Below are 24,627 nucleotides of genomic sequence, written 5' to 3'. Positions count from 1 at the left end.
AAGGGGAGAGCATCTCTGCTCAGTAAAAGCTTTCATGGGCAGCGACTGAAAGAATGAGGCCCAGAGGAATTTCTAGGAACTTTCCAAGAGAGGAAATTCAAACCCGAGAACTCCCAAGAGGTGTCTCCCACACCCCTGTTCTCTGACCCTGCCATGGCCACCCTCCCCCGTCACAGGTCTCTGCGTGCCATGCACCTAGAGTCCACTTCGTCGCGACTCTCCAACACCTATTTTCTCCAGGAGCTGCTTCGGACCCGTTTGTTTTTTTTGTTTCGTTTTGTTTTGTTTTTCTGACAGCGACAGCCCTTGGGCAACGCTAATCATTCCAAGCAAATTCTGTCATGCCAAGACCTCCCTTAACAGCACGCGCCCACTTGTTTCCAACTCTCCTGCGAATTGGGCTTCGGGAGCCTCCGAAACCAAGGCTCGGAGATGTGGAGCGCACAGGGGAAGGGTCGAGCTGGGACCCACACCCGGCTCTTCCTCCCACACCGCCTGTTGAGCCCAAGGCTCAATTTCAACACAAAGCTCTCCTTCCCTCAATTCCTTCAACGACGGGTAACCTTCAACGAACACCTACCGGACCAGAACAGAGTGTACGAGCGGCGCGGGAAGGTGGCACAAAGGCATGGCCCAGAGGAGTGGCAGGAAGACTCAGCCGGGGCCCTCCACTCCCCAGCCTGCCCGGCCTGGGCAGAGCCGCCGGGCCGCCCGAGTCCTGGGGCTCGCGGAGGAACGGAGATGGCCTCCGCAGGGGCTCGCGGAAGCCCCCAGGGCGTCGGACCGTCTCACGCGCGCGTCCCGCGCCACTCACCTGTGGGACCCATAGCGTCGCCCGCTTCAGAGGTGGAAGCCGCCATTCCGCCACCGCGCCAAAACGTCGTCATCAAGCTGCGCGCAGAGCCACGCCCCGCGGCCGGGCGGGAAAAGCGCTTCTACCTCTTTGGGCCGTTACCTCAAAAGGTACGTGCGCAAAGCGAAGAAGGCCGGCCGGCCGGCCAGGGAGGGGAAATGGCGAGGCAGGAGTGCGGGGGGAGGGAGTGGTCCTTAGCTGAATGCGCCTGCGTTGTGGCGGCCTCTGGCGCCCCAAGGTAGGGCTCACGCACTTTCTCCCTAGCAAGGAATGCGCGTGCGCGTAAGCAGGGTTGTTGATTAGTGCCCCCCACCCCCCCCGAAGAGCGACCCCTAGTGGTGCACCGGTGCGGACCAGAAAATTGCACGCTTTCTTGAAACAGGTATTGACTGAGCGCCCAATGTATGCCTGGCACTGGGCTGGGTGCTGCCACCTAAGCGAGCACGACCAATGCAAGTCTATCAGGGACGCCCTGACCGCCAAGCAGCTGGCCCCTGCAGTCCGCCATGCCACTCCCGACGCCTAGCGCGCCGCTCAGCACACCGTGAGCGCCCACTAACTGTTGGGCTCCAATGACGCCGAGGAGGCGGCCCCGTCCCCGCGCTCCCGCCGCTCCCGCCAGGGCAGCCCGGGAGGCCAGACGCTGGCGCTGCAGGGAGAGGGCGGTGGGCGCATCCGCTAGGGGGCGCGGCGGGGCGGGGCGCACCTTTCGGCGGGCCTCGCGGATGGCGGCGCAGGGCGTAGGGCCTGGGCCGGGGTCGGCGGCGCCCCCGGGGCTGGAGGCGGCCCGGCAGAAGCTGGCGCTGCGGCGCAAGAAGGTGCTGAGCACCGAGGAGATGGAGCTGTACGAGCTGGCTCAGGCGGCGGGCGGCGGTATCGACCCCGACGTGTTCAAGTGAGCGGGGCGGGTGGGGGCCGCATGCTCGCCAGACACCCCCGACCTCTGCTCTCCGGGTACGCCCGGCCCGCTGGTCGGGAGGAGCCCCCGCTGCCCCCGCCCCCGTCCTTGTCCGGTCTTCAGGGAGGTGGCCGCGCCGGGCGGAGAGGGCTCACCGGCCCCGCGTCTGTCCCCGCCAGGATCCTGGTGGACCTGCTGAAGCTGAACGTGGCCCCCCTCGCCGTCTTCCAGATGCTCAAGTCCATGTGTGCCGGGCAGAGGCTAGCGAGCGAGCCCCAGGACCCTGCGGCCGTGTCTCTGCCCACGTCGAGCGTGCCCGAGACCCGAGGTCAGAGCTGGGCCCGCTGTCCCTGCCCCAGTGGCGGGGGTGGCGGGCGGGGAGGGGGCAGGCGCGGCACAGCGGCGGCGTGGCCCTGAGTGGCCAGGCCTGTCTGTCGGTCGGTCTAGGCCCAGCACCTGCAGGGCCCATCCGTGGGCTCTGCTCCTGGGCTTCGCTGCCAGCCTTAGGAGGCACGTCCAGGTCAGGTGGACGCAGAGTGCGTGCCCCAGGGTGGTCCAGGCTGGGTAGGGCTCCTCCGCTTAGCTCCTCCCCACCTCTTCACTCAGGCCTTCATCCTACAAAGTCGGGAATCAAGACGGTTTGGGGCTGGGCGCCGTGGCTCACGCCTATAATCTTTGGGACCCCACGGCGGGAGGATCCTTTGAGGCCATGAGTTTGAGACCAGTCTGGGTGACAGGGTGAGATCCTGTCTCTAAATGTTTTTCAAAAGACAGTCTCGATCTCTGTCCTGTGGTATACAGCATCCAGGGAAGTGCCCAGGGAGCAGGGCAGGCAGACGTCTTCCTGCCTTTACCCCACCTGGGCCCAGTTCCTGCCTCTGATGATTGCAGGAAGAGAGTTAGACGCGGAACTCCCAGGGTGCAGAGGCCTGCGGGGTCTGAAGGGCCTCCTCCCTCTCCAGTGTGGTGACTGGGCTGAGGAGATGCTGGGACTGAGAGTGTCATGGTGGAGCCTCCGTCCCTGCTCATCCTCTCCGCATGTTGCTTCTGCTCCCGATGGCTCTCTCTGAAATGCAGCACAACCTCCCAGGCCAATGGAAGGAGGCCCAGAGCTGGCTCCCTGCCTGGAAGCAGGAGGAGACCCTCACAGGCATCATGAGAAGGCGTGGAAAGCAGGCTGCCTTCATGGGGGAAGTGCCAGGGCCTGGGCACCCACGCCCGCTGACCCAAGAGGGCCCGGGCACCTGCGTGCTGGCCTCTTCACTGACCCTCGCTCTGTCTGCTCTCTTTGTGTCTCTCTCTGACCTCCAGAGGCCTCCTTTCTCTCTGCCAGGAACAGTAGCCCCCCTGCAAGGCCCTCGTTTTCCTCCAGCCCGCAGCCTGCGGCCTCTCTGGTTATGCTCCACAGCCCAGCTGCCACACACTCACCTCTCTCTCCAGGCCCCCCGGGTTCCCTCCGCCTCTCTTGCTGCCTGTTCTCTCCTTTTGCAGGTTGCGTTTATTGGCTTATCTCTGGGGGTTGGTGCTCTTCCTTGTTTTCATGGAAACTGCATGGCCCCAAGAGGCCCAAGCAGCTTTGAGCTGCAAGGGCAGGATCATGCAGGCCACCGCTGCCCTGCCGCTTAGCCACAGGGCACTATTTCTGACTCGGTTTATTAGAGACATGGTGTGGCAGTCTCTAGACCCCACAGTCGGGCTGGCATCCGGGGACAGGACCAACATCCCCACACCCCAGAGGCGAACTAGTGGTGAGTGTAAAGAGCCCCTCTCCAGGGGAAGACAGCCAGCCGGGTGCAGTGTGCTCTGCTGGAGAGCACAGCCCCAGGCGTGACAAACGCCTCGGCCTCTTAGAAGTTGTCCCCTACCTGGACAGGAAGTCTGGAGGCTGAAACAGAGACTCCCACCTTCCCAGAGTCTGCCAGGCAGTGCCACACAGATGCCATGTGCTGGTCCCATGGCCACACTCCAGCACTCAGCCCCCTTGCCCGCCTCACTCCTGAGTTGGGACACTTTCCAGGTGTCACCAGGTGTGATCAGGGGCCTGTGAGAGCCCAGGGGTCTTTGGTCGCGCCTCCTGCATGAGCCTCCTGACAGCGGCCACCTCACTGCCACCCAGAGCTCAGGCCCAAGAGAGGGTGGAGAGGGCCTGAAGGACAGGCCTGGAGTAGGGGTGTATGGACTGCAGGCTGAGATGAGCAATTGAGGGGCAAGTGTCCAGCAGGAGGGAGAAACTGGGAACAGAGTTCTTGTCACTCCAGGAGATGTTGCTGCTCACTTAGCACTCACTCAGGGCTCTGGGTGCCAGGCCTAGCTCTCAGGGCAGAGGGCGTGGCAGGGAAGTGAGATGATCACACTCAGTCCAGTGAGAGGCAGTGAGGAAAACCACCAGTGAGACCAGTGTGCTGGCTCACACCTGTAATCCCAGCACTTCGGGAAGTCAAGGCAGGTGGATTCCTTGAGCTCAGGAGTTCAAGATCAGCCTGGGCAACATAGCAAGACCCCATCTCTACAAAAAATACAAAAACTAGCCAGGCAGGGCCCGGCGCGGTGGCTCACGCCTGTAATCCCAGCACTTTGGGAGGCTGAGGCGGGCGGATCTCGAGCTCAGGAGATCGAGACCATCCTGGCTAACACGGTGAAACCCCATCTCTACTAAAAATACAAAAAAAAAATTAGCCAGGCATGGTGGCAGGTGCCTTTAGTCCCAGCTACTTGGGAGGCTGAGGCAGGAGAATGGCGTGAACCTGGGAGGTGGAGCTTACAGTGAGCCAAGATTGCGCCACTGCACTCCAGCCTGGGTGACAGAGCGAGACTCCATCTCAAAAAAAAAAAAAACTAGCCAGGTGGGCGTGGTGGTGGCGCCCATCTGTATTCCCAGCTACTTGGGAGGCTGAGGTGGGAGGATTGCCTGAGCCTGAGGGGGATGTTGCAGTGAGCCAAGAGCTTGTGACTGGACTCCAGCCTGGGCAACAGAGCAAGACCCTGTCTCAAAAAAAAAAAAAGAAAAGAAAGGAAAAGAAAAACCACTAGCAATGGAGTTGGGAGGAGGCTTCAGAGCCCAGAGAGCAGCAAGGGTTACACAGGGTGGAGCAGGAAGGGTCAGCAGAGCCCCACACGTGTGAGCTGGGGCAGTGGGAGGGCATGGGAGAGGCAGAGCGCTGTCCAGGTGCTGGTAGGCCCAGGGCAGGAGGAGGCAGGTGGGGGGGCACAGTCAAGATGTATGTGGGGGTTGTGGCACTGGAAATGCAGGCATAGAGGGGCCAGGAGGATTAGGGGGTGCCATGTGAGCGAATGGGGGCTCCAAGAGAATTTACCCGAGGACAGGAGTGGCCTGGAGTGCTGGGCCCCTCAGGGTCATTTGTTTCTCGAGGGCTGTGTCCTGGAAGCATAGCCCAGGTCCTGTAGGCTGGGTGGCAGAAAGCCACGACATGAGGGCACCGAGGCCCCATGGGGATAGAGTGGAACCTGAGGAGGAGGTGGAGGGGAATGGGGCAGACGTGTGCTGCTGAGTGAGAGGCAGAGGCCACAGATGGAATGCTGAGAGCTCTCTGAGGCCCACATATTACAGCTTCTGACCACACAGAGCTCCAGCTGCCCTGGTAATGGCAGAATCTGGGGTGGAGGATTCTGTCACCCCATATGGCAGGGGGGTTGTCGGAGTAATCCGGGGGGAGGGGCATGGAGGCCATAGGTTTCCCACAGGACTCGGGTGTTGAGTTCTCCAGGCTATGGGCCAGGCCCTCTCGAGCTTGCCTCTGTGAGCTGCAGCAGGCACCCTGGGTCCTCTGGATGCCTGTCCCCCAGCCATGCAGACGGCCTGTGGGAACAACCACCACCAGATTCACTCATACCCACAGGGAAGGGGAAATAGAAAACCCCAGAAGCACAGAGGGTCGATGCTTGTCTTGGTGAGAGTCTGGAGTCATTGAGGGAAAAATAAATTCAGTCAAGCGTTATATTTAAGTTTAGGGAAACTATACGTTTTAAAAGTTGTCCAGAGCATGCGTGTAAGATGACGTTTGGAGTGTGGAAGCCGTGAGTCTCACCTGAGCTGTGCTGCCTGATACAGGAACTTCGAGCCACACATGGCTGGCGTGGTCATTGCACTGCGTGTGGTATGCGCAGCAGATGCCAAAGGACCGGTACAAAAGGGAATGCAAAAAACCCACCACACCTTGGGAGGCCGAGGCTGCTGGATCTCTTGAGCTCAGCAGTTCAGGACTAGCCAGGGCAACACAGGGAGACCCAATCTCTACAAAACATACAAAAATTAGCAGGGCATGGTGGCACACATCTGTAGTTCCAACTACTTGGGAGGCTGAGGTTGGAGGATTGCTTGAGCCTGGGAGGTTGAGGTTGCAGTGAGCTGTGACTGCACCACTGCACTCCAGCCTGGGTGAGAGAGTGAGACCCTGTCTCAAAAATAAACAAAAAACCCCAAAGTGAATGAGGCTGGGCATTGGTTCACACCTGTAATCCCAACATTTTTGGAGGCTGAGGCAGGAGCATCACTTGAAGCTCGGAGTTTGAGACCAGCCTGGGCAACATAGCAAGACCCCACCCATTTCTACAAAGAAACAAGAAAAAGAACAAAGGTGAATGCAACATCTTATGAATAATTTATGTACTGACTACATATTGAAATAATACGTTGGATATTTTAGATTAATTAAAGTATTTGAGCTAATTGTGCATTTTCTTTTACTTTTTATTTATTTATTTATTTTTGAGACAGTCTTGCTCTGTCACCCAGGCTGGAGTGCAGTGGCACACTCATAGCTCACTGCAGCCTCAACCTCGTGGGCTCAGGCAATCCTCCCACCTCCTCTTGAGTAGCTGGGACTACAGGTGCACACTACCACACCTGGCTAATTTTTAAATTTTTTGTGGAGATGGAGGTCTCACTATGTTGTCCCAGCTGGTCTCTAGCTCCTGGCCTCAAAGGATCCTCCCACCTTGGCCTCCCAAAGCACTGGAATTACAGGCACGAGCCACTGACCCCTGCTGAGCCAGGCTGTTTTTAACATTCAGTGGTCATTGACTGTTTTTGGCGTTTAGGAGGGCCCTCCAGGGACCAGGTGTAGGGGCATCAGTCACCCTGCCCTCACACCCCAACCTGCAGCCACACTTGGTTCAATCCCACTGTCTAGCCCGTCTGACTCAGTAGCCCCTCCCGAGGGAGCAGGGCTAAGCAAAGCTGGTTTCCCCACTGCAAGGCACTGCAGGCCATTCTATTCTGGGCCTTCTCATCCTTCATAAAGTGAGGAGGCCTGAACAGGGCTCCCCACTAGCCCCGAGAGCACGCAATTCCTGAAGATTTCCAGGATTTTCTTAATATCAGTTATGGCTTACGGTTATGTTGGTTTCACATTTCCAGGGTTTGTCAACCCTGTCAGATTTAAAGATAAGCATTATTAGCCAGGTGTGGCCCCATGCTTGTAGTCCCAGCTACATCGAGGCTGAGGCAGGAAGATCCCTCGAGGCCATGGGTTCCGGGCAGCAATGAACTGTGATTGCATCACTGTGCTCTAGACCAGGTGACAGAGCAAGACTCAGTCTCTAAACCCCCCTCCCCCACCACTCTTAAAAAAAAAAAAAGCATTATTTGCTCTTTTCTGCTTCGCTGTCATCCTTGTTTCCAGAAGGGACTGGGTCACTACTGAGGGGAGGAGAGGAAGCTCAGATGGCGGCAAACTGAAGGGAAGCCGACTCTGAGTCAGGCCTAGGTGCACGGCCTGCCATGCTGCGTGCTGTGGGGAGCTGAGAGCGCATGGGCACCTAAGCACCCAGATTAGGCTGCGGCTACAGAAGATCTGACTGTCTGGCCTGGCCTGCAGAGGGACTGTGGCCTCAGAGGAGGATGCTGGCCCAGTGTGGGAGCTGCTGCAGGGTGGTGGGTCCCGTCTGCTCATGGAAGACAGAATCCTTGCCCCTTGACCAGTCAGTGGGGACTAGAATTATGGCAGTTTGTACCACAAGAGATGCGTGGTGGCTATTGTCTGCTTTGTGCCTTTTTCACTAGTCACTGCTGGGCTGAGGTGGCCAATCATCACCCACCACGTGTTCCTGACTGCGCTCCTCCTTGGCTCAGGGCAACCCTGACTCCATCTTTGTTCAGCCAAGTGTGACAAGCTGACAGAGTTCCCAGCATGACACCGCTGTAACCCTCACCACCACCAGGCAAGAATGAGCAAAGATCTCATTCTCTGAGGAAGAACTCCCCGGAAACTCATAAGGAGGGCCGTCCTATCCCTGCAGGGTATGGGGAGAATTTTGTGGTATTAGCATAGAAAGGGAGCTGGAGGTACCTCTGGAAGAGCGGGGGTCCACGGCATCTCAGACACAGGAGTCTCTGCTTGTTCAGGGTGACAGATGGTGAAACAAATGACCTAATGGGTCCCTAGACACCCGGTTGCATCTTTTCTCCAGGAATCCAGTTTCCCTTTGCAGGGTATTTGACTACACTTGATAAGAGGCCAGGGAAGGACCAGGATTGAGGCTGGGTGTTCTGTTGGCTGAACCCTTGTCTGGAGTCACCCTAAAAGTGATGGCAGGGGAGTTCCCACACGGGACTGCCCCAAACCTTTCCAAGATGAGAGCCAGTTGGGATTCCAAAGGAAGAAACACTTAATGCCAGGGTGGTCAGTCCAAAGCATTTGTTAGGGAGCTTATATACAGAGGGGGCTGCAGCGTGCCCTCACGAGGGACAGCCAGGAAAGAGGTTGTGCCTAGGCACACCGCACTGAGGGGGTGGGGTGTGGAGTTTCTATGAGGGTGCAAGGAATTTGGCTGGGGTGGGACCAGTTTCCACGTGCTTAGCAACACGTCAGATCTTTCAGTGTTCCAGGCAACAACCTAAACGTGTATCAGTGTCTGGGAACATGCAAGCCCCAGCCAGGGTTTGAGCCTGCAGGGGGAACATGTAGCTGATTAGGTCAGAGTGGTCAAGGCACTCCCTCAGTCAGGACAAAGGAAATGCTGGGGGGATGAAATGGGGGACCCAACACTGAGTCAGGCAGGGGACACACGCCCTGTTTAGAGCCCACGGGTCAGACCCCACCAGGCCAGAGCAGGGGAGAGCCCTGGCCAAGGCACTCCGCATGGGGGGCTGTGACCCCACGGGCAAGCCTGCTACCCGGGCACGTTTGTACCTTGGAGGGTCCTCTCAGTCTTGCCGATGCTGTCAACACCCTGAGCCCAGGGAAATGCATCCCATTAAAATAAAGCTCTGGCCCGAGTGTGGTTGCAGATTTTTCTTGGCTATCTTAAAGAGTAAAGTAAGCAAATTACAAATCAAAGAAACTCTGAACCTGTGGTCTTCATCCGAGAGAGCCTCTGGTGTTCAGAAGGAAAGTCTCAAGCGTTCAGACTGTGGCAGGAACCCTGTCATGGAATCTGGCAGCTAAACCCGAAAGCAAGAGGCTTGACCACTGCAGAACACTCGGGTAGGTAGGAAACAATGAAAGAGCTTCCAAAATCAAAATCAGAAACCCAATTCCAGGACTTGGTGACTGCAGTACTTCCTGCCTGTCACCATCTGGGGCAGCTCAGATGTGCAGTCCAGCGTGAACACACCTTGAGGATGAGGCAGCGCGTCCCTGCTGCTGCTGCTGCCGCTGATGGCACGATCAGGGCAGACTAGGTTTGCTGACCAGGCTAGGTGTGGACCACCACACCTACCTTTCCCTAAATGGGCCCGTGGCATGTGTCCTTTCAAAATGTTCCCTTGGCAGTGTGCTCCTTGCGTGGCTTCGCTCCTAGGACACATCCTAAAGGGTCCCCTGCACACTGCCAAGGGCTTCTGGGGCGTGACCTGTCTTTAGTGGTTCTGAGTCTCAGGACTTGGGGCTGATGCAGGGCCTCTAGCTGAAGCGACTTTGATGGAAATGTGTAGACACAAATGTTGCCCAAGGAGCACGAGTACAGCAGGTGCTGCATTTATGGGGCGCGTCCATTCCTAATCATTGTGCTTTGTGTCTCCTTAGGGAGAGACAAAGGCAGCGCTGCCCTCGGGGGAGTATTGGCCCTGGCGGAACGCAGCAACCACGAGGGATCCAGCCAGAGGATGCCACGCCAGCCCAGCGCTACCAGGCTGCCCAAGGGGGGCGGGCCTGGGAAGAGCCCTACGCAGGGCAGCACCTAGGATGGGGCAGAGACTTGTCACATCTTTGTCCCCAGCAAAGGCTACATGTTACCTCCTTCAGTTGATAATAAACCTTTCTGAGATGCAGAGGGTCCAGGTCAGATGCTCTCTACTGTTTTTTTTTTTTTTTTATATTAAGGCACACTTAGAATGAAGTTTCTGTGCCGGTCCTGGTTGTGCCACAGTGAACTAACCAGGTCCCTTCACCATGGGTCAACTTCCTGAACCTGATTTGGGTTCTGAGGAAAGGTGTCTGGATTGCCAGGTCTTTTATAAATAGACATCAACAAGCTTCACTTGGAGTGAAATGTGGGAGGTTTTTTGTTTGTTTGTTTGTTTGTTTTCTGAAACGGAGTCTTGCTCTGTTACCCAAGCTGGAGTGCAGTAGTGCGATCTTGGCTCACTACAAGCTCCGCCTCCTGGGTTCGCGCCATTCTCCTGCCTCAGCCTCCCAAGTAGCTGGGCCTACAGTGCCCACCACCACACCCGGCTAGTTTTGTTGTATTTTTAGTAGAGACGGGGTTTCACCATGTTAGCTAGGATGGTCTCGATCTCCCACCTCATGGGAGGTTTTCTACCAAGACAGTTGACAGTGCTGAGGGACAGGGTTGCTGTGTGTACGCACAGAGGGCGAACGCTGCCTTCCAGGTTACTGTGGAGCACTGGGGTCAGCATGGGTGTGTTGTGACCTTCTGTGGGTCACGAATGCTGTGCAGAACTCGGTTAATACTCTTTCCCCCTCTAAAATGTCCTGACCTTACACATTTGACCCACAGCTTTAGAGACTTCATGGACAAGCCCCATCCACAGACCTCCAACACTTCTAGTCTCCCTTTTAGCCAGCATGACCCATCAATAAAGAAGCCCGAAAAATCACAGATTCAGTTGAAAACCCTGACTCTGCTTTCCTAGAATTTAGGAAATCTATACATTGAACACCTGGCTTTGAAGAAACACTATTTTCCCCTGGTCAGGTTACTTCTGTGGCAGCTGCTTATGTACAGTCCTGCTGCACCCAACCCCACACCAGCAGCAGGGCAGGCTGGCACCCCACCGCTGTCCATGCAGGCTCTAGGGTCCCACCGGCTCCTGTAGGCAGAGCTAAGCTGCACGACACACAGAGGGCTTGGTTTTATACAGAACCTTTAATTGCAAACAACTTGGAAGCAGCCATCCCGGGGGTGGCAGGGGAGAACCCACCACACCCTCCCCTCAGTATTCTTCGCCTTCTTCAGCCTCAGCTTCCACGGAATCCACGCCCACCTCTTCATAATCCTTCTCTAGAGCTGCCAGGTCCTCGCGGGCCTCAGAGAACTCTCCCTCTTCCATGCCTTCGCCCACGTACCAGTGCACAAAGGCCCGCTTGGCATACATGAGATCGAACTTATGGTCCAGGCGGGCCCAGGCCTCCGCAATGGCCGTGGTGTTGCTCAGCATGCACACGGCCCGCTGCACCTTGGCCAGGTCTCCCCCGGGGACCACTGTGGGGGGCTGGTAGTTAATGCCCACCTGCCAGAGAAGGGAAAGAAAGCAGTCCATGAAGCTTATATCAAACCTAGAAATGGTAGCTACTTTTCCTCAAACAGAAGACACCCTGTAGGTGACACGGAGAATGCTCAGTTCACCTCACAAACGTCACTAAGCCCTTCTCTGCACCAGGCAGGGTGATAGTTCCAGATGAGGAATAGAGAAAGGAACCTTGGAGGTAGCCACCCTGGTGGGATCCCAAGCTACCTAAAGGGCTGTGTCCTAGTACCTGTGACATGTGATAGGTGCCCAGGTGAAGACAGTCTTCCCTCTGAAAATGTATGCTGCTTGTCTTCTTTGTAGATTACAATTAAATTCTGTAGCTAAACTTCTTCCACCCAGATAGATTCAGAGTACACAACTCTTCCCCATGCTATCACAAGGAACATCATACCCACTTCTGACCCACAGAACAAGCCACTGTGGATATGCAAAGGTAGCAGATCATGGGTCAAGGGTCATATGAATGCTGCTACCACAGCAGCAGGAAGTGGTCGAAGTGGTCCATGTGCCTGCCTAAGTAGGGGGTGACATTCCAAGGTGGTAACCAAAGGGGAAGCATTCCAAGTTTCAGAACTCGGGCATAACATGACCTGAGGTCCTGGCCGCAGTGCACAGGGTCAACTAGAGCAGGGATCAGCAAACTTGTTCTATAAATGACAACATCAGGCCAGGTGTGGTGGCTCAAGCCTGTGACCCCAGCACTTTGGGAGACAGGTGGGCAGATCACGTGAGGCCAGGGGTTTGAGACCAGCCTGGCCAACATGGCGAAACCCCATCTCTACTAAAAATACAAATATTAGCTGGGTGCAGTGGCTCGTGCCTGTAATCCAGCACTTGGGAGGCTAAGGCGGGTGGATCACCTGAGGCCAGGAGTTCGAGACCAGCCTGGCCAACATGGCAAAATCCCATCTCTACTAAAAATACAAAAATTAGCCAGGCGTGGTGGCAGGTGCCTGTAATCCCAGCTACTTGGGAGGCTGAGGCAGAGAACTGCTTGAGCCCGGGAGGTGGAGGTTGCAGTGAGTCAAGATCACGCCACTGCATTCCAACCCGGGCGACAGAGCAAGACTCTGTCTCAAAAAAAAAAAAAAAAAATTACCCGGGCATGGTGTTGCATGTCTATGGTCCCAGCTGCTTGGGAGGCTGAGGTGAGAGAATCGCTGGAGCCTGGGAGGCAGAGGTTGCAGTGAGCCAAGATCACACTACTATACTACAGCCTGGGGGACAAAGCAAGACCCTGTCTCAAAAAATAAATAAATAAATAAATAAAGCTCACCACAGATATATAGTGTGATGACTCAGACAGAGAGTTCAAAAGACATCACTGAGCTAGGTGCAGTGGCTCACGACTGTAATCCCAGCACTTTGGGAGGCTGAGGCAGGCAGATCACCTGAGGTCAGGAGTTCAAGACCAACCTGGCCAACATGGCGAAACCCCATCTCTACTAAAAATACAAAAATTAGCCGGGCGTGGTAGCGGGTACCTGTAATCCCAGCTACTTGGGAGGGTGAGGCCAGAGAATTGTTTGAACCCGGGAGGCAGAGGTTGCAGTTAGCTGAGATCGCACCACTGCACTCCAGCCTGGTTGACAGAGCAAGACTGTCTCAAAAAAAAAAAAAGAAATCACTGAATCAATTATCAACTCTGGTTCACTAATTTATGCCCACATGCCTAGCCCATGGAACAGGGATAATCTCCCCAAAGGATGTGGGCCTTCAGGGCCAGTGTTATTTTGTGCATCTGCTGCTTGCTGAAAGGCCTCCACATCACCCAGTCATACCTTAAATCCAGTCGGGCACCAATCCACAAACTGGATGGTGCGCTTGGTCTTGATGGTGGCGATGGCCGCGTTGACGTCTTTGGGGACCACGTCCCCCCTGTACAACATGCAGCAGGCCATGTACTTGCCGTGGCGAGGGTCACACTTGACCATTTGATTGGCTGGCTCGAAGCAGGCATTGGTGATCTCGGCCACAGACAGCTGCTCGTGGTAGGCCTTCTCAGCTGAGATGACTGGGGCATAGGTGGCCAGGGGGAAGTGGATGCGGGGGTACGGCACTAGGTTGGTCTGGAATTCCGTCAAGTCCACATTCAGGGCCCCATCAAATCGCAGGGAGGCTGTGATGGAGGACACGATCTGCCCAATCAGGCGATTGAGGTTGGTGTACGTGGGACGTTCAATGTCCAGGTTGCGCCGACATATGTCATAGATGGCTTCATTGTCGACCATGAAGGCACAGTCAGAATGTTCCAGGGTCGTGTGGGTGGTCAGGATGGAGTTGTAGGGCTCCACCACGGCTGTGGAGACCTGGGGGGCTGGGTAAATGGCAAACTCTAGCTTGGACTTCTTGCCGTAATCCACTGAGAGCCGCTCCATGAGCAGAGATGCGAACCCAGAGCCAGTGCCGCCCCCAAAGCTGTGGAAGATGAGGAAGCCCTGCAGTCCTGTGCACAGATCCGCCTGAGAGAAACCACACAACGTGAGCCAATGCCCATGGAAGCCACACCACCAACCTCCAACAAGCCAGGGCCGCTTCTCTTTGCCTCTAAAGAGTTGATATGGATTCAAATCATCCATAATAAACATGCAGTACACTTTGAAGCAAAGAAAAGCAAAGATCTACGGACAAATCACCACTGCAGACTCAGTAGGACTCAAGATGCTGGTCTAAGTTTTTGCTTGTTTGTTTGAGACGGAATCTTGCTCTGTTTCCCAGGCTAGAGTGCAGTAGTGCAATCTCAGCTCATTGCAACCTCCGCCTTCCGGGTTCAAGCAATTCTCCTGCCTCAGCCTCTCAAGTAGCTGGGAGTACAGGTGTGTGCCCCCACACCCAGCTAATTTTTGTATTTTTAGTAGACATAGAGTTTCACCATGTAGGCCAGGCTGGTCTCAAACTCCTGACCTCAGGTAATCCACCCGCTTTAGCCTCCCAAAGTGCTGGGATTACATGTGTGAGCCACCGCGCCCGGCCAAGATGCTGGTCTAAGTGTTGATAAAATGACTTCCCTTTCACATTCCAAGAACTACCCCTCCCATGCAAGAAAATGGCCACATGAAACCTTCTCTTCTTACCAGTTTGCGGATCCGGTCCAGGACTAGGTCAACAATCTCCTTGCCGATGGTGTAATGGCCCCTGGCGTAATTATTGGCTGCATCTTCCTTCCCGGTGATCAGCTGCTCCGGGTGGAAGAGCTGCCTGTAGGTCCCTGTGCGCACTTCATCTGCAAAAGAGACAGTGTGTGCTGTGAATTTTTAAGGCCTGTACTCACCAAGATGGACACATTCCAGGAGTGTTCACTTCTACAGAGCACATGCTGTTCAAAGTACATGACCTACATGTCATAGGTCAACAGTGGCAGTGTCTGGTAGAAAATGTCTCTGTGTGATAACCAAACTGCATATGCAATTTATGACTCTACAAAGTTAAACTCAGCTTGTTGTATAAATGTCAGCACAACCAGTTCCCAGTGAAAGGAAATAAGCTCTGGCACTCCTACGCAGGTACATAATTCTTTCCTACGTGTAGCTACATCAAAGGCTGTAAGTTAGAAACTCTTACAACCTGGGCAGTCACCAGGTCAGTGTGACTTCTGCAGGGCAGTCCCATCAGGGCACCCTGGATGACCTGGGTCCCACAGGCTTTCAGGTGATGCTGTCATCTCCTGGGGGGCCACTGAAAGGTGCTGCCTCTTTGTAGCTCTCCTTGGAAACTACATCAGGCTGCGAATCTGAAGGAAGCAAATGACTGTTCTGTACTTACCTTCTATGCCTAAGATGCAGGTCAAGACTCTAGTGCACCAGCATAAGAGAATGCACAGCATTCGGGAGGGAACCAATGCCACTGCACCCTGCAGGCAGGGCCACCTGAGCAGGGCTGAGGCACGCACGAGGGAATCTCTTCACAGCCCATCTTACTGCTGGCAAAGCAGCTTTTCCCTGTAGGTCAGGTTTTCCTAAATTAGGAGCCGAGTCTCACAGACACTTTGATCACGAACCTTTCAGTTTCTCTCCTAACAATGCCATGGGCATATGCCTGTCTATCCCATCCTTTCAGCAGGAGGATTCAAAGGAGCCCACACGGGGCTTTACCAATGCTCTCCCACCCTCTCAGGAAAGCTGCCATCCAGTGCCCAGGCACCTACCGACCACAGTGGGCTCCAGGTCCACAAACACTGCTCTGGGCACGTGCTTGCCAGCTCCAGTCTCACTGAAGAACGTGTTGAAGGAGTCGTCCCCGCCACCAATGGTTTTATCACTTGGCATTTGGCCATCGGGCTGAATTCCATGTTCAAGGCAGTACAGTTCCCAGCAGGCATTGCCGATCTGGACACCCGCCTGCCCCACGTGGATAGAGATACACTCGCGCTGTGAACAGGAACATAAAAGTGAACCCATTCATTTCAAGGCAACTTGAAACTATATGGCATGCAAAATATTCTAATTTAATATTTATATACTGCTTCAGTATCTGGCGCTTTCACAATCGATATTTCCTAGGAGGGTTAGTGACTGATCCCTTTATCGCTGTGAAAACTAATTGCTGTAAACCATACTAGCTAGTAAGTTCTAGAGGTAGCCCTAGAACCTGTTTGCCACTACACAAAACTTAGGTTATTTTAAAACTTGGAAGCCATGTAATGTCAATAATCAACCCCACATTATAGCCCGTCACAGTAATTCTCTGAAGAATATGTAGCAGTTTTTGATTATGTCCTGATCAAAGGATAAGGTAGTCGGGTTGGGTAAGGAAATACAGAGTAGGTCCCAGGTCACCATGGTCCAAGCCCAGGTGCTCAGTGTGTGTCCTCTCTCTACCCCCCAGTTCTACCCCGTCCATCATTCACCACCTGCTCTGTGCTCTCGAAGGCTGACCCTTGAGAACAGCATCAGAGGCCTTCCTCGCCCTCTGGCTTCTTGCTGGTTTGGTCAATGGCAGGCAGCAGTGGGATACTGGGGGGCTGGAGAAAGCAGTGCCAGGGTACTCCCTCCTTGGCCCCTTCCTGCTCAACTGCTGTGGGTGACCTGAATCCCTCTCAAGGCCACACTTTTGGCAGGCTGCCCTCTTCATAAAACTACCCTCCCAATTTCTTGTAACCACTCCCTCTCTCTACCCCTTGAAGCCTGTAATGGCTCCCAGACGTCATTAGTGCTGGGACACTGCACTGTCCTTTGGTGGTTTCTTTAAACCCTGCCAAGCTGGGTGTGGTGGCTCATTCCTATAATCCCAGCACTTTAGAAGGCTGAGGTGAGAGGATCACTTGGGACCAGTTTGAGACCAGCCTGGGTAACATAGTGAGTCCCTGTCCCTATGAAAAATCTACAAATTAGCCAGGTGTGGTGGCACACACCTGTAGTACCAGCTACTCGGAAGGCTGAGGTGGGAGGGCTGCTGGAAGCCAGGGGTTCAAGGCTGCAGGGAGCCGTGATCCTGCAACTGTGCTCCAGCCTGGGCAACACAGCATTTGTTGAGTGCTGTCTCAAAAAAAAAAAAGAAAGAAAAAGAAAGGAAAAAAAGGATAACTGACAAACCACAGCTATTCAGACTTGGGACTTGGGAATCTGTTATGTTAATGGGCTGCTTTTTTTGTTTGTGTCTTTGAGGCAGGGTCTCTGTGGCCCAGGCTGGAGTGCACTGGCGCCATCACGACTCACTGCAGCCTCAAAGTTCCAGGCTCGGCTGATCCTCCCACCTCAGCCTCCCGAGTAGCTGGAACCACAGACTCGCATCACCATGCCCGGGTAATTTTTGTATTTTTTTGTAGAGACTGGGTTTCGCCATGTTGGTCGGGCTGATCTTGAACTCCAGACATCAGGTGATCCGCCCGCCTCCACCTCCCCAAGGGCTGGGATTCCAGGCGTGAGCCGCCGCGCCTGGCCTAACGGTTGCCTTTAGGTGAACAAGGCAATGTTGCAGCAGCGTCTGAGCCTTAATTCCTCATCTGATCAATGTCCACAGCCCCAACCCCCGTCACCGAAGGCTCCTGGGGCTCCTCAGTTGTTTCGAGTAGCACAAAGACGTGTGAAGCGGGAGCAGCGCCCTCCCGTCTTCAGGAGGCGACGCCACTATTTGCTCTCTGGGGGACGGGACACCGTCAATGGTCCCGTTCACTAAAGGCCGGCAGCTTCATCTAAAACAAAAGCCGCCGTCCCTGCCCTGGGACCCAAAGATCCAGGAAACGATCCCGTGTCCTCCTGTCCCGCACTAGACCCTGCGTCCTTCTCTGGCCTCCTCTCAGCGCCCAGGCCCGCAACAACGTCCCTCTGTCCACCCGAGGCCAACTTCGTCTGCCTGGGCATCTGCGGGGCGGGAGTGACCCGGGCCTTACCATGGCGAACTCCGCTGCTTCAGCCCAACGCTACTGCCAGACCTCAACCGGCTGCCACAGCTGCTGAGCGCCCAACTGCAACCTCCTGCCTGTGCGCGCCGCACGGGATTGGCCCGCCGGTGCCAGGCCGCCATTGGCTCGGAGTTCCTGGGAGGCGGGCTGAGGGCCGGATCCCAGTTCTGATTGGCCATTGCTCAACATGTGTACTGGGGACGCTCTCTGATTGGATGTAGGATTGGCGGGAAGGCAGCGGGGGTCATCAAAGGCTGCGCGGTTGCTGAGGCATTTCCGGGGTGTCTTCTGACCAGGGTTGGAACAGCTACTGCGCTGCCTCTGTGGGTCGCGGAACATTGCCTTGCTCCCAGTGTGCCACTGCCCCTCCCTGATTGCCCCAGGCCTGCCCCTCTCCCTGCCTAATTCAGATCTTTGCAAACAAGGCCACCTCTGAGAGGCCTTGCCGCCATCTACCCAAGTCACAGCAGCACCGCAATTATCCCCCTCTTCCCTGTTCCCACCCAGCACCTGGGAAGTGGCAGGATTCAATCACTTTTGTGACCCAAAAGGAGAAAACGGGCCGGGCGCGATGGCTAACGCCCGCAATCCCAGCACTTTGGGAGGCCGAGGCGGGTGGATCACCTGAGGTCAAGAGTTCCCAAGACCAGCCTGGCCAATATGGTGAAAACCCGTCTCTACTAAAAATACAAAAATTACCCTGGCTGGTGGTAGGCACCTGTAATCCCAGCTACACGGGAGGCTGAGGTAGGAGAATCGCTTGAAACTGGGAGGCAGTTGTTGCAGTGAGCCGAGATTGGGCCACTGCACACTCCAGCCTGGGCAACAGAGCCATACTCCGTTTCAAAAAAAAAAAAAAAAAAAAAAAAAAGGAAGAAAGGAGGCAAAATTAACGTAAGTGGAGACGTTGGGTCAGGCACACCAGCTCATGCCTGTAATTCCAATGCTTTGGGAGGCCATGGCAGGAGGACTGCTTCAGGTCAGGAGTTCAAGACCAGCCTGGGCAACGTGGTGAGACCCACCTTGCCCGTTTTTACAAAAAATACAAAAAAATAAAATAAAATTAGCAAGGCACGGTGGCGCATGCCTGTAATCCCAGCTACTCAGGAGGCTGAGGCAGGAGAATCCCTTGAACCTGGGAGGCAGAGGTTGCAGTGAGCTGAGATCACGCCACTGCACTCAAGCCTGGGCGACAGAGCGAAACTCCATCTTGAAAAAAAAATAGAGTTTATTTGGGCCAAGTTTGAGAAGTGCAACCCTGGAGATGCAAGTTGTCTTAATATATTGGCAGCAGTTATAAGTGGGTTTTATAAAGGAAAAGAAGAGGCAGTTCCTAAGTTGTTTACCAAGAATTTGAAATTAGAGAAGAAGTCTTGCTGTGTTGTCCAGGCTAGTCTTGAACTCCTGACCTGAAGGGATCCTCCCACCTTGGCTGGCCTAGCCTGAGGAATTTATATGAAAATAACGTAAGCTATTTATTGGGTCAGGCGTGGTGGCTCACACCTGTAATCCCAGCACTTTGGGAGGCCAAGGTGGGAGGATCACTTGAGGTCAGGAGTTCAAGACCAGTCTGGCCAACATGATGAAACCCTTCCTCTACTAAAAATACAAAAATTAGCCAGGCATGGTGGTGAGCACCTATAGTCCCAGCTACTTGGGAGGCTGAGGTAGGATAATCACTTGAACCCGGGAGGCGGAGTTTGCAGTGAGTCAAGATCACACCATTGCACTCCAGCCTGGGCAATAGAGTGAAACTCCATCTCAAAAAAAAAAAAAAAAAAAAAAGAAGAAGAAGACTGGGCGCGGTGGCTCATGCCTGTAATCCCAGCACTTAGGGAGGCCAAGGCAGGCGGATCACGAGGTCAGGAGATCGAGACCATCCTGGCTAACACGGTAAAACCCCGTCTCTACTAAAAATACAAAAAATTAGCCGGGCGTGGCGGCGGGTGCCTGCAGTCCCAGCTACTCTGGATGCCGAGGCAGGAGGATGGCATGAACCCGGGAGGTGGAGCTTGCAGTGAGCCGAGATAGCACCACTGCACTCCAGCCTGGGCAACACAGCGAGACTCTGTCTCAAAAAAAAAAAAAGCTATTTATTGTCTCTACATTGTCTACATTGTCTTTGGTATCACAAATTCCAGGAACAGGAAGATAATGGGTTGAGCTAGTCAGGAACAAAATGCCTTTAAACAGTCACCCCAGGGCATGAGTACAAGGCGTGTGACTGAAGTCCATATTCCTGTCTCTCTGGGCCTGATAAATTCTGCACACCTCGCATAACTCAAAGTGCTGTGAACACTTTTTCTTATTTCTTTAGTGAGAGGGAGTGGGTTTATGGACAACAGGAAAGGGGAAGGCACACCCCTGTCCCGGGAAGAGCAGAGTCGGGACCCAATACCCATTTTGGAGGAGTTTGGAACAGTCACCTGATTCTTCCTTTTTATTTATTTATTTTTTGACACTGGTTCTCACTATGTTGACCAGGCTGGACTCAAATTCCTGGGCTCAAGTGATCCCCCAGCCTCAGCCTTCCTTGTAGGGTGGGACTACAGGTGTGTGATTCTTCCCAGTTTGATTCTTCCATCCCTAAAGATCATCTTAGTGTGTATTCAGTTCTGGGAAAAGCCCTGGAGGAGACATGCTGGCTTACCCCCAGCTCATCACCAGGATGCAGCATCCCACCATGGCATCTCCCTGGAGGGTGGCCAAGCAGGCCCTTAACTTTCCCTCCTGAGAGGAGAGCAGAGAAGAGAGAGGGAGCTCCCCCAGTGGGATGGGACTCATGAGGTCCAGGAGTTGAGACTTTTCTGTGGCCTTTGGGGACCTCTGAACAATGCAATCAGGTCTTCCCTTAGCAAGATGCTTTGGCAAAAGGAGGAGGGGCAGGGACGGAGTTCTGCAGACAGCCGGGAAAATCAGAGGAGGCCACTGGCCCCTTCTCCCCAGGAGGGTGAATCCTTCTGTATTAGCCCCAGGCACCCTAAAAAATACCACTGACTGAGTGGCTTAAACAGCAGGGTTTTATTTTCTCACAGTTCTGGAGGCTAAAAGCCCCAGAGGCCTCTCTTCCTGGTTTGCACACAGCCACCTTCTCACCATGTCCTCCCATGGGGAGGTAGCACCCAAGCTCTCTGGTCTCTTATAAGGACACGAATCCTGTTGGATCAGGGCCCACCCTTATGACCTCACTTAACCTTCATCATCTCCTTATAGGCCCTGTCCCCAACTACAGTCACATTGGGGATTAGAGCTTCAGCGTCTAATATTGGTGGGGGGGGACACCATTCAGTCCATAGTCCCCCTTCCTCAAGGCTCCAACCACATCATGCACAGAACTCAGCTGTAGCCCACATCACACGGTGCTCTTCAGTCCAGCCACGCGTCCTTCAGCGGCTGGGATACGTTCTCGACAATGCATCATCAGGTAATTTCGTTGATGTGAGAACATCACAGAGTGTTCTTAGACCAACCAAGGTGGTGCAGCCTACTGCACACCTAGACCACATGGTATAGCATATTGCCCCTTGGCTACAGACCTGTACAGCAAGGATTTATGTATCTAAACACAGAAAAGCTACGGGAAAAATATGGTATTATAACTTTATGGGACCACTGTTATATATATGCTGTCTGTTGTTGACCGAAACATCATTATATGCTACATGGCTGCAATATTTATTTTTCTGATTATAAAAGTAACACATATTCCCAGTAGACAGTGTAGAAAATTAGCAACAAACTATTTATTCTACTGTAAATGACAAAAGAAAAATTGAGCCTTGGACATGCCCATTTTTACTGTAAGCTATGATTCCATAATTGACTTGTAGTAAACAGTGTTTCTGGCCCCTAAGTATTGCTGCCTTGTGTATTTTATTTAGTATACAGCAATAAAAAGAGTCCTGTGAATTATTAAATCATTTCAATAAGTCAGCTAACAACATTTACATATAGTTGCTACACAGAAAGTAACACAAATTATTTCCTCTTTTGCTCATATTCAAACAGGCTTGAGTGACAACTTGAGGACAAGGCGGCGCCTCAACAAGATTTCACACAGCAGCTACGGGGGCCAGAGAAGCAGCACCGCATGGTGTGGCAGGAGAAGGAGGACATGCACAAGGTAGGCAGTTCGGTTCTGGGTGAGAAAGGCTTAAGAGGCTTTGCAGAGTTTTGTAAGATTCTGTTCATACAGATGTTTAAAGACCTCCTTGGGACTCCTGCTCATGGACTGTCCCTGCTGCACGCAGGACAACAGGGCCAAGCCTGGTTCTAGGGCCCCTGCTGTGCCCAGTTGCTACACAGCCCATGTCAGCTAGCTGGGCTTGGCTCCCTGCCATGGGTGCCTTTCAGCATGCTGCCTGCAGCAGGCACCCACTTCACAGTCATCATCTGCCATCTCCAGTTCAACCCCGCGGAGTAAGCAGCAACTCCCCCAGCCCCGCCCATTCTGAATGAGGAACGATGTCCAGAGGGCACTGTGTTATCTGCAGTGACACGCTGCGCCTGACACCAGTGACCTCGTCCTTCTCTCTACACCATGCCCCCTGCTCTTAGAAGGGGCATCTTAGTAAGGACAGGGAACTGCAAAAGAGGACATATGTTAAAATGTGGCTGATTCCCCCATAACTCCTTTATAAATTTGGTTTTTAGTAAGATATGTGAACTTTATATTCAAATGCCATTAAGTATAGTAATAACACAATTAGGTTCTTTTTTCTTTTCTTTTTTTCTTTTTTTTTTTTTTGAGACAGAGTCTCTCTCTGTCACCAGGCTGCAGTCATGCGATCTCAGCTCACTGCATAGGCTCTGTTTTCTAAAATACATTCATTTATACACTGAAGTCCTTGGACCTGTAGTTTGTGATCTGTCCTCTAAAATGGGGCAGATTTTAAGCCCAAATTGCTTCTTAAGATAATCTGTAGTATCATCCCCCTGCATGACTTGTCTGGGAGTGCAGTGTGGGCTGGGCAGCGTCTCATTGCTTGACACAGTCACAGTGACTCTGAGCTGGACCCAGAGAGGCCTGGGGAGGCCTTTTCTCCCCATGTGGGAGCCGCCCTGCCAGCTTGCTCCAGGTCTCGTCACTTCCAGTCTTAGTCCAGCAAGTGTGACAGTGACTAAACAGCCAGACTGTTGGCCAGATCAGCTGCAGGGAGGTCAGGGTCATCAGTGCAGCAAGTGGTAAGGTTGGGTTGTCAGTGCAGCTGAACTTGTGGTAAGTCCTACTTGTGGCCCTCCACCCAGGGAGTCTTTGATTTAAATCTCTTTCTTCTTAATTTTCTTTTCTTTCTTTTTTAGTTTTTTTAAGAGATGAGGTCTCACTATTTTGCCCAGGCGCTGGTCTTGAACTCCTGGGCTCAAGTGATCCTCCCACCTCAGCCTCCCAAAGTGCTGGGATGACAGGCATGAGTGCCTGGCCTGATTTAAATCTTCAGCACTTTGTCTATGTATTTTTTTCTGCTTCTGCTTCTTCTTGTGTTTAAGTAACTATATTGAGTGCCCAAATGCTTTATTCACCTTTGCAATTGTGTAGAAGACCTCGGGCAGAGGTTGGCATTACAGAGCCAGCTGTCCTGCTGTAAGTTACTCCATGCAGTTGCAGGGTCTTTCTTGGTGTGGGGTTGTTGCTCAGCACCTGAGCCCAGGTGGTCTTCCCATTGAATGTTTGGCTGGGGTGAGGTGAGCACAGGGCTTTTTCCAAGCAGGGGATTTCTCCCATCTGTGGCTTTAATCTGTAACCAGCATTGGCTGTCACTTGTAACTCTTTAATATAGTGTAAACTAAATGTCCAGCCTTCCAGACCTTTGTTAAGCAAACATAAAACATCTGTAATTTTTTTTTCAGCAATTGGTTGAAGCTTCAGAGACATTGAAATCCCAAGCCAAAGAACTGAAAGATGCCCATCAGCAGCAAAAGCTGGCCCTGCAGGAGTTCTTGGAGCTCAATGAGCTCATGGCAGAGCTCTACTCCCAGAAGCAGAAGGTGTGGGACAAGGAGGAGGAGATGGAAGTAGCCATGCAGAAAGCTGACATGATGTGGCAGGAGATCTGAAGATCCAAGAAGCTCAGAAAGAGGATGCTGTTTAGCCAGATGCGGTGGCTCACGCCTGTAATCCCAGCACTTTGGGAGGTCGAGGCGGGTGGATGGCCTGAGGTCAGGAGTTTGAGACCAGCCTGGCCAACATGGTGAAACCCTGTCTCTATTAAAAATGCAAAAATTAACCAGGCATGGTATTGGGTGCCTGTAATCCTAGCTACTTGGGAGGCTGAAGCAGGAGAATTGCTTGAACCTGGGAGGCGGAGGTTGCAGTGAGCCAAGATCATGCCACTGCACTCCAGCCTGGGCAACAAGAGCAAAACTCTGTCTCAAAAAAAAAAAAGGGGGGGAGGAAGCTATTTAGATATTTCAGCGATGGTATTGACTGGACTTTTGTATGACCTTAATAAAACATCTTTGAAAACTTGGGCTGCATTATGTAAATTACTTTAAAATCATCTTAAGTTTTATGTGAACCCAAGTAAGTTGATCTGCCAAGCATTTATTTTGTGTTCATCCCTCAATATCTATTTGTGAAATCATTAAAAGAGGTTCCTATTCCTAAGTTTTTAAAATTCCCTTTTAAGTAAGTAGAGGGTATTTATGCTGAGCTGTGATATGGCCCGGCTTAATTGAATAAGAGCACCTGCAGTCCATAAAGAGCCAATGGCAGTAGAAAGACAAATCGTAGTCTAGGACGCTTCAAGCCACTTGCTTTAGACCAGTGCTTCTGAAGCGTCTTGGCCTAAGCACTCCTTTACACTCTTGCAAATTACTGGGGATCCCAAAGAGCTTCTACTTAGGTAGATTACAGCTCTCAATAT

General features: G+C 53.3%; 2 protein-coding genes, 1 non-coding gene and 1 pseudogene across 8 annotated transcripts in view, besides 5 other annotated features; 2 read left to right on the top strand and 2 right to left on the bottom strand.

Moving 5' to 3' along the window:
• The window catches only part of SMPD4BP (sphingomyelin phosphodiesterase 4B, pseudogene), a 28,764-nt pseudogene extending 27,622 nt beyond the window's left edge, over positions 1 to 1,142 (bottom strand). Inside the window, exon 1 of the transcript NR_026922.1 lies at positions 815 to 1,142. The product of NR_026922.1 is annotated as a sphingomyelin phosphodiesterase 4B, pseudogene (transcript). The remainder of the gene's footprint in view (positions 1 to 814) is intronic.
• Positions 201 to 24,227, top strand: MZT2A (mitotic spindle organizing protein 2A). 5 transcript variants are annotated; one of them, XM_005263742.4, is made up of 4 exons: positions 1,558 to 1,748; positions 1,931 to 2,079; positions 21,773 to 21,887; positions 23,612 to 24,227. In XM_005263742.4, the coding sequence occupies exons 1-4, from the start codon at positions 1,579 to 1,581 to the stop codon at positions 23,637 to 23,639; spliced, it is 462 nt and encodes a 153-aa protein (XP_005263799.2). In that variant the 5' UTR covers positions 1,558 to 1,578; the 3' UTR covers positions 23,640 to 24,227. The 5 variants fall into 5 exon arrangements, with proteins under 5 accessions (XP_047301524.1, XP_005263799.2, XP_047301526.1 ...); XM_047445570.1 differs by lacking the exons at positions 21,773 to 21,887; positions 23,612 to 24,227 and adding exons at positions 3,063 to 3,242; positions 9,737 to 9,995; XM_047445568.1 differs by lacking the exons at positions 1,558 to 1,748; positions 1,931 to 2,079 and adding an exon at positions 201 to 963.
• Positions 618 to 807: a silencer, noted in NCBI's record as "silent region_11966". NCBI's record gives its function as "represses an Ori minimal core promoter by ATAC-STARR-seq in GM12878 lymphoblastoid cells {active_cell/tissue: GM12878}" and the evidence as "EXISTENCE:reporter gene assay evidence [ECO:0000049][PMID:35858748]".
• Positions 618 to 2,227: a biological region, named in NCBI's record as "hESC enhancers GRCh37_chr2:132249301-132250094 and GRCh37_chr2:132250095-132250888".
• Positions 640 to 1,433: an enhancer, noted in NCBI's record as "NANOG-H3K27ac-H3K4me1 hESC enhancer chr2:132250095-132250888 (GRCh37/hg19 assembly coordinates)". NCBI's record gives its function as "activates a minimal SCP1, AML or CMV promoter by ChIP-STARR-seq in naive H9 embryonic stem cells {active_cell/tissue: H9 hESC(naive)}" and the evidence as "EXISTENCE:reporter gene assay evidence [ECO:0000049][PMID:30033119]".
• Positions 1,328 to 1,837: a silencer, noted in NCBI's record as "silent region_11965". NCBI's record gives its function as "represses an Ori minimal core promoter by ATAC-STARR-seq in GM12878 lymphoblastoid cells {active_cell/tissue: GM12878}" and the evidence as "EXISTENCE:reporter gene assay evidence [ECO:0000049][PMID:35858748]".
• Positions 1,434 to 2,227: an enhancer, noted in NCBI's record as "H3K27ac hESC enhancer chr2:132249301-132250094 (GRCh37/hg19 assembly coordinates)". NCBI's record gives its function as "activates a minimal SCP1, AML or CMV promoter by ChIP-STARR-seq in naive H9 embryonic stem cells {active_cell/tissue: H9 hESC(naive)}" and the evidence as "EXISTENCE:reporter gene assay evidence [ECO:0000049][PMID:30033119]".
• MIR4784 (microRNA 4784) lies at positions 2,719 to 2,795 on the top strand. The gene has a single exon (NR_039945.1). It is a non-coding gene; the product is annotated as a microRNA 4784 (primary transcript).
• Positions 11,021 to 17,836, bottom strand: TUBA3D (tubulin alpha 3d). Its single transcript, NM_080386.4, has 5 exons — positions 17,753 to 17,836; positions 15,569 to 15,791; positions 14,499 to 14,647; positions 13,206 to 13,886; positions 11,021 to 11,403 (listed from the first exon to the last, which is right to left on the bottom strand). The coding sequence occupies exons 1-5, from the start codon at positions 17,753 to 17,755 to the stop codon at positions 11,107 to 11,109; spliced, it is 1,353 nt and encodes a 450-aa protein (NP_525125.2). The 5' UTR covers positions 17,756 to 17,836; the 3' UTR covers positions 11,021 to 11,106.
• Positions 24,228 to 24,627: the final 400 nt, after the last annotated feature.

The sequence above is a fragment of the Homo sapiens genome, chromosome 2 (assembly GCF_000001405.40).
Source record: "Homo sapiens chromosome 2, GRCh38.p14 Primary Assembly".
Lineage (NCBI taxonomy): Eukaryota > Metazoa > Chordata > Mammalia > Primates > Hominidae > Homo > Homo sapiens.
Note: the sequence above shows the minus strand (reverse complement) of the source record. Positions and strands in the feature narration are given on the sequence as shown.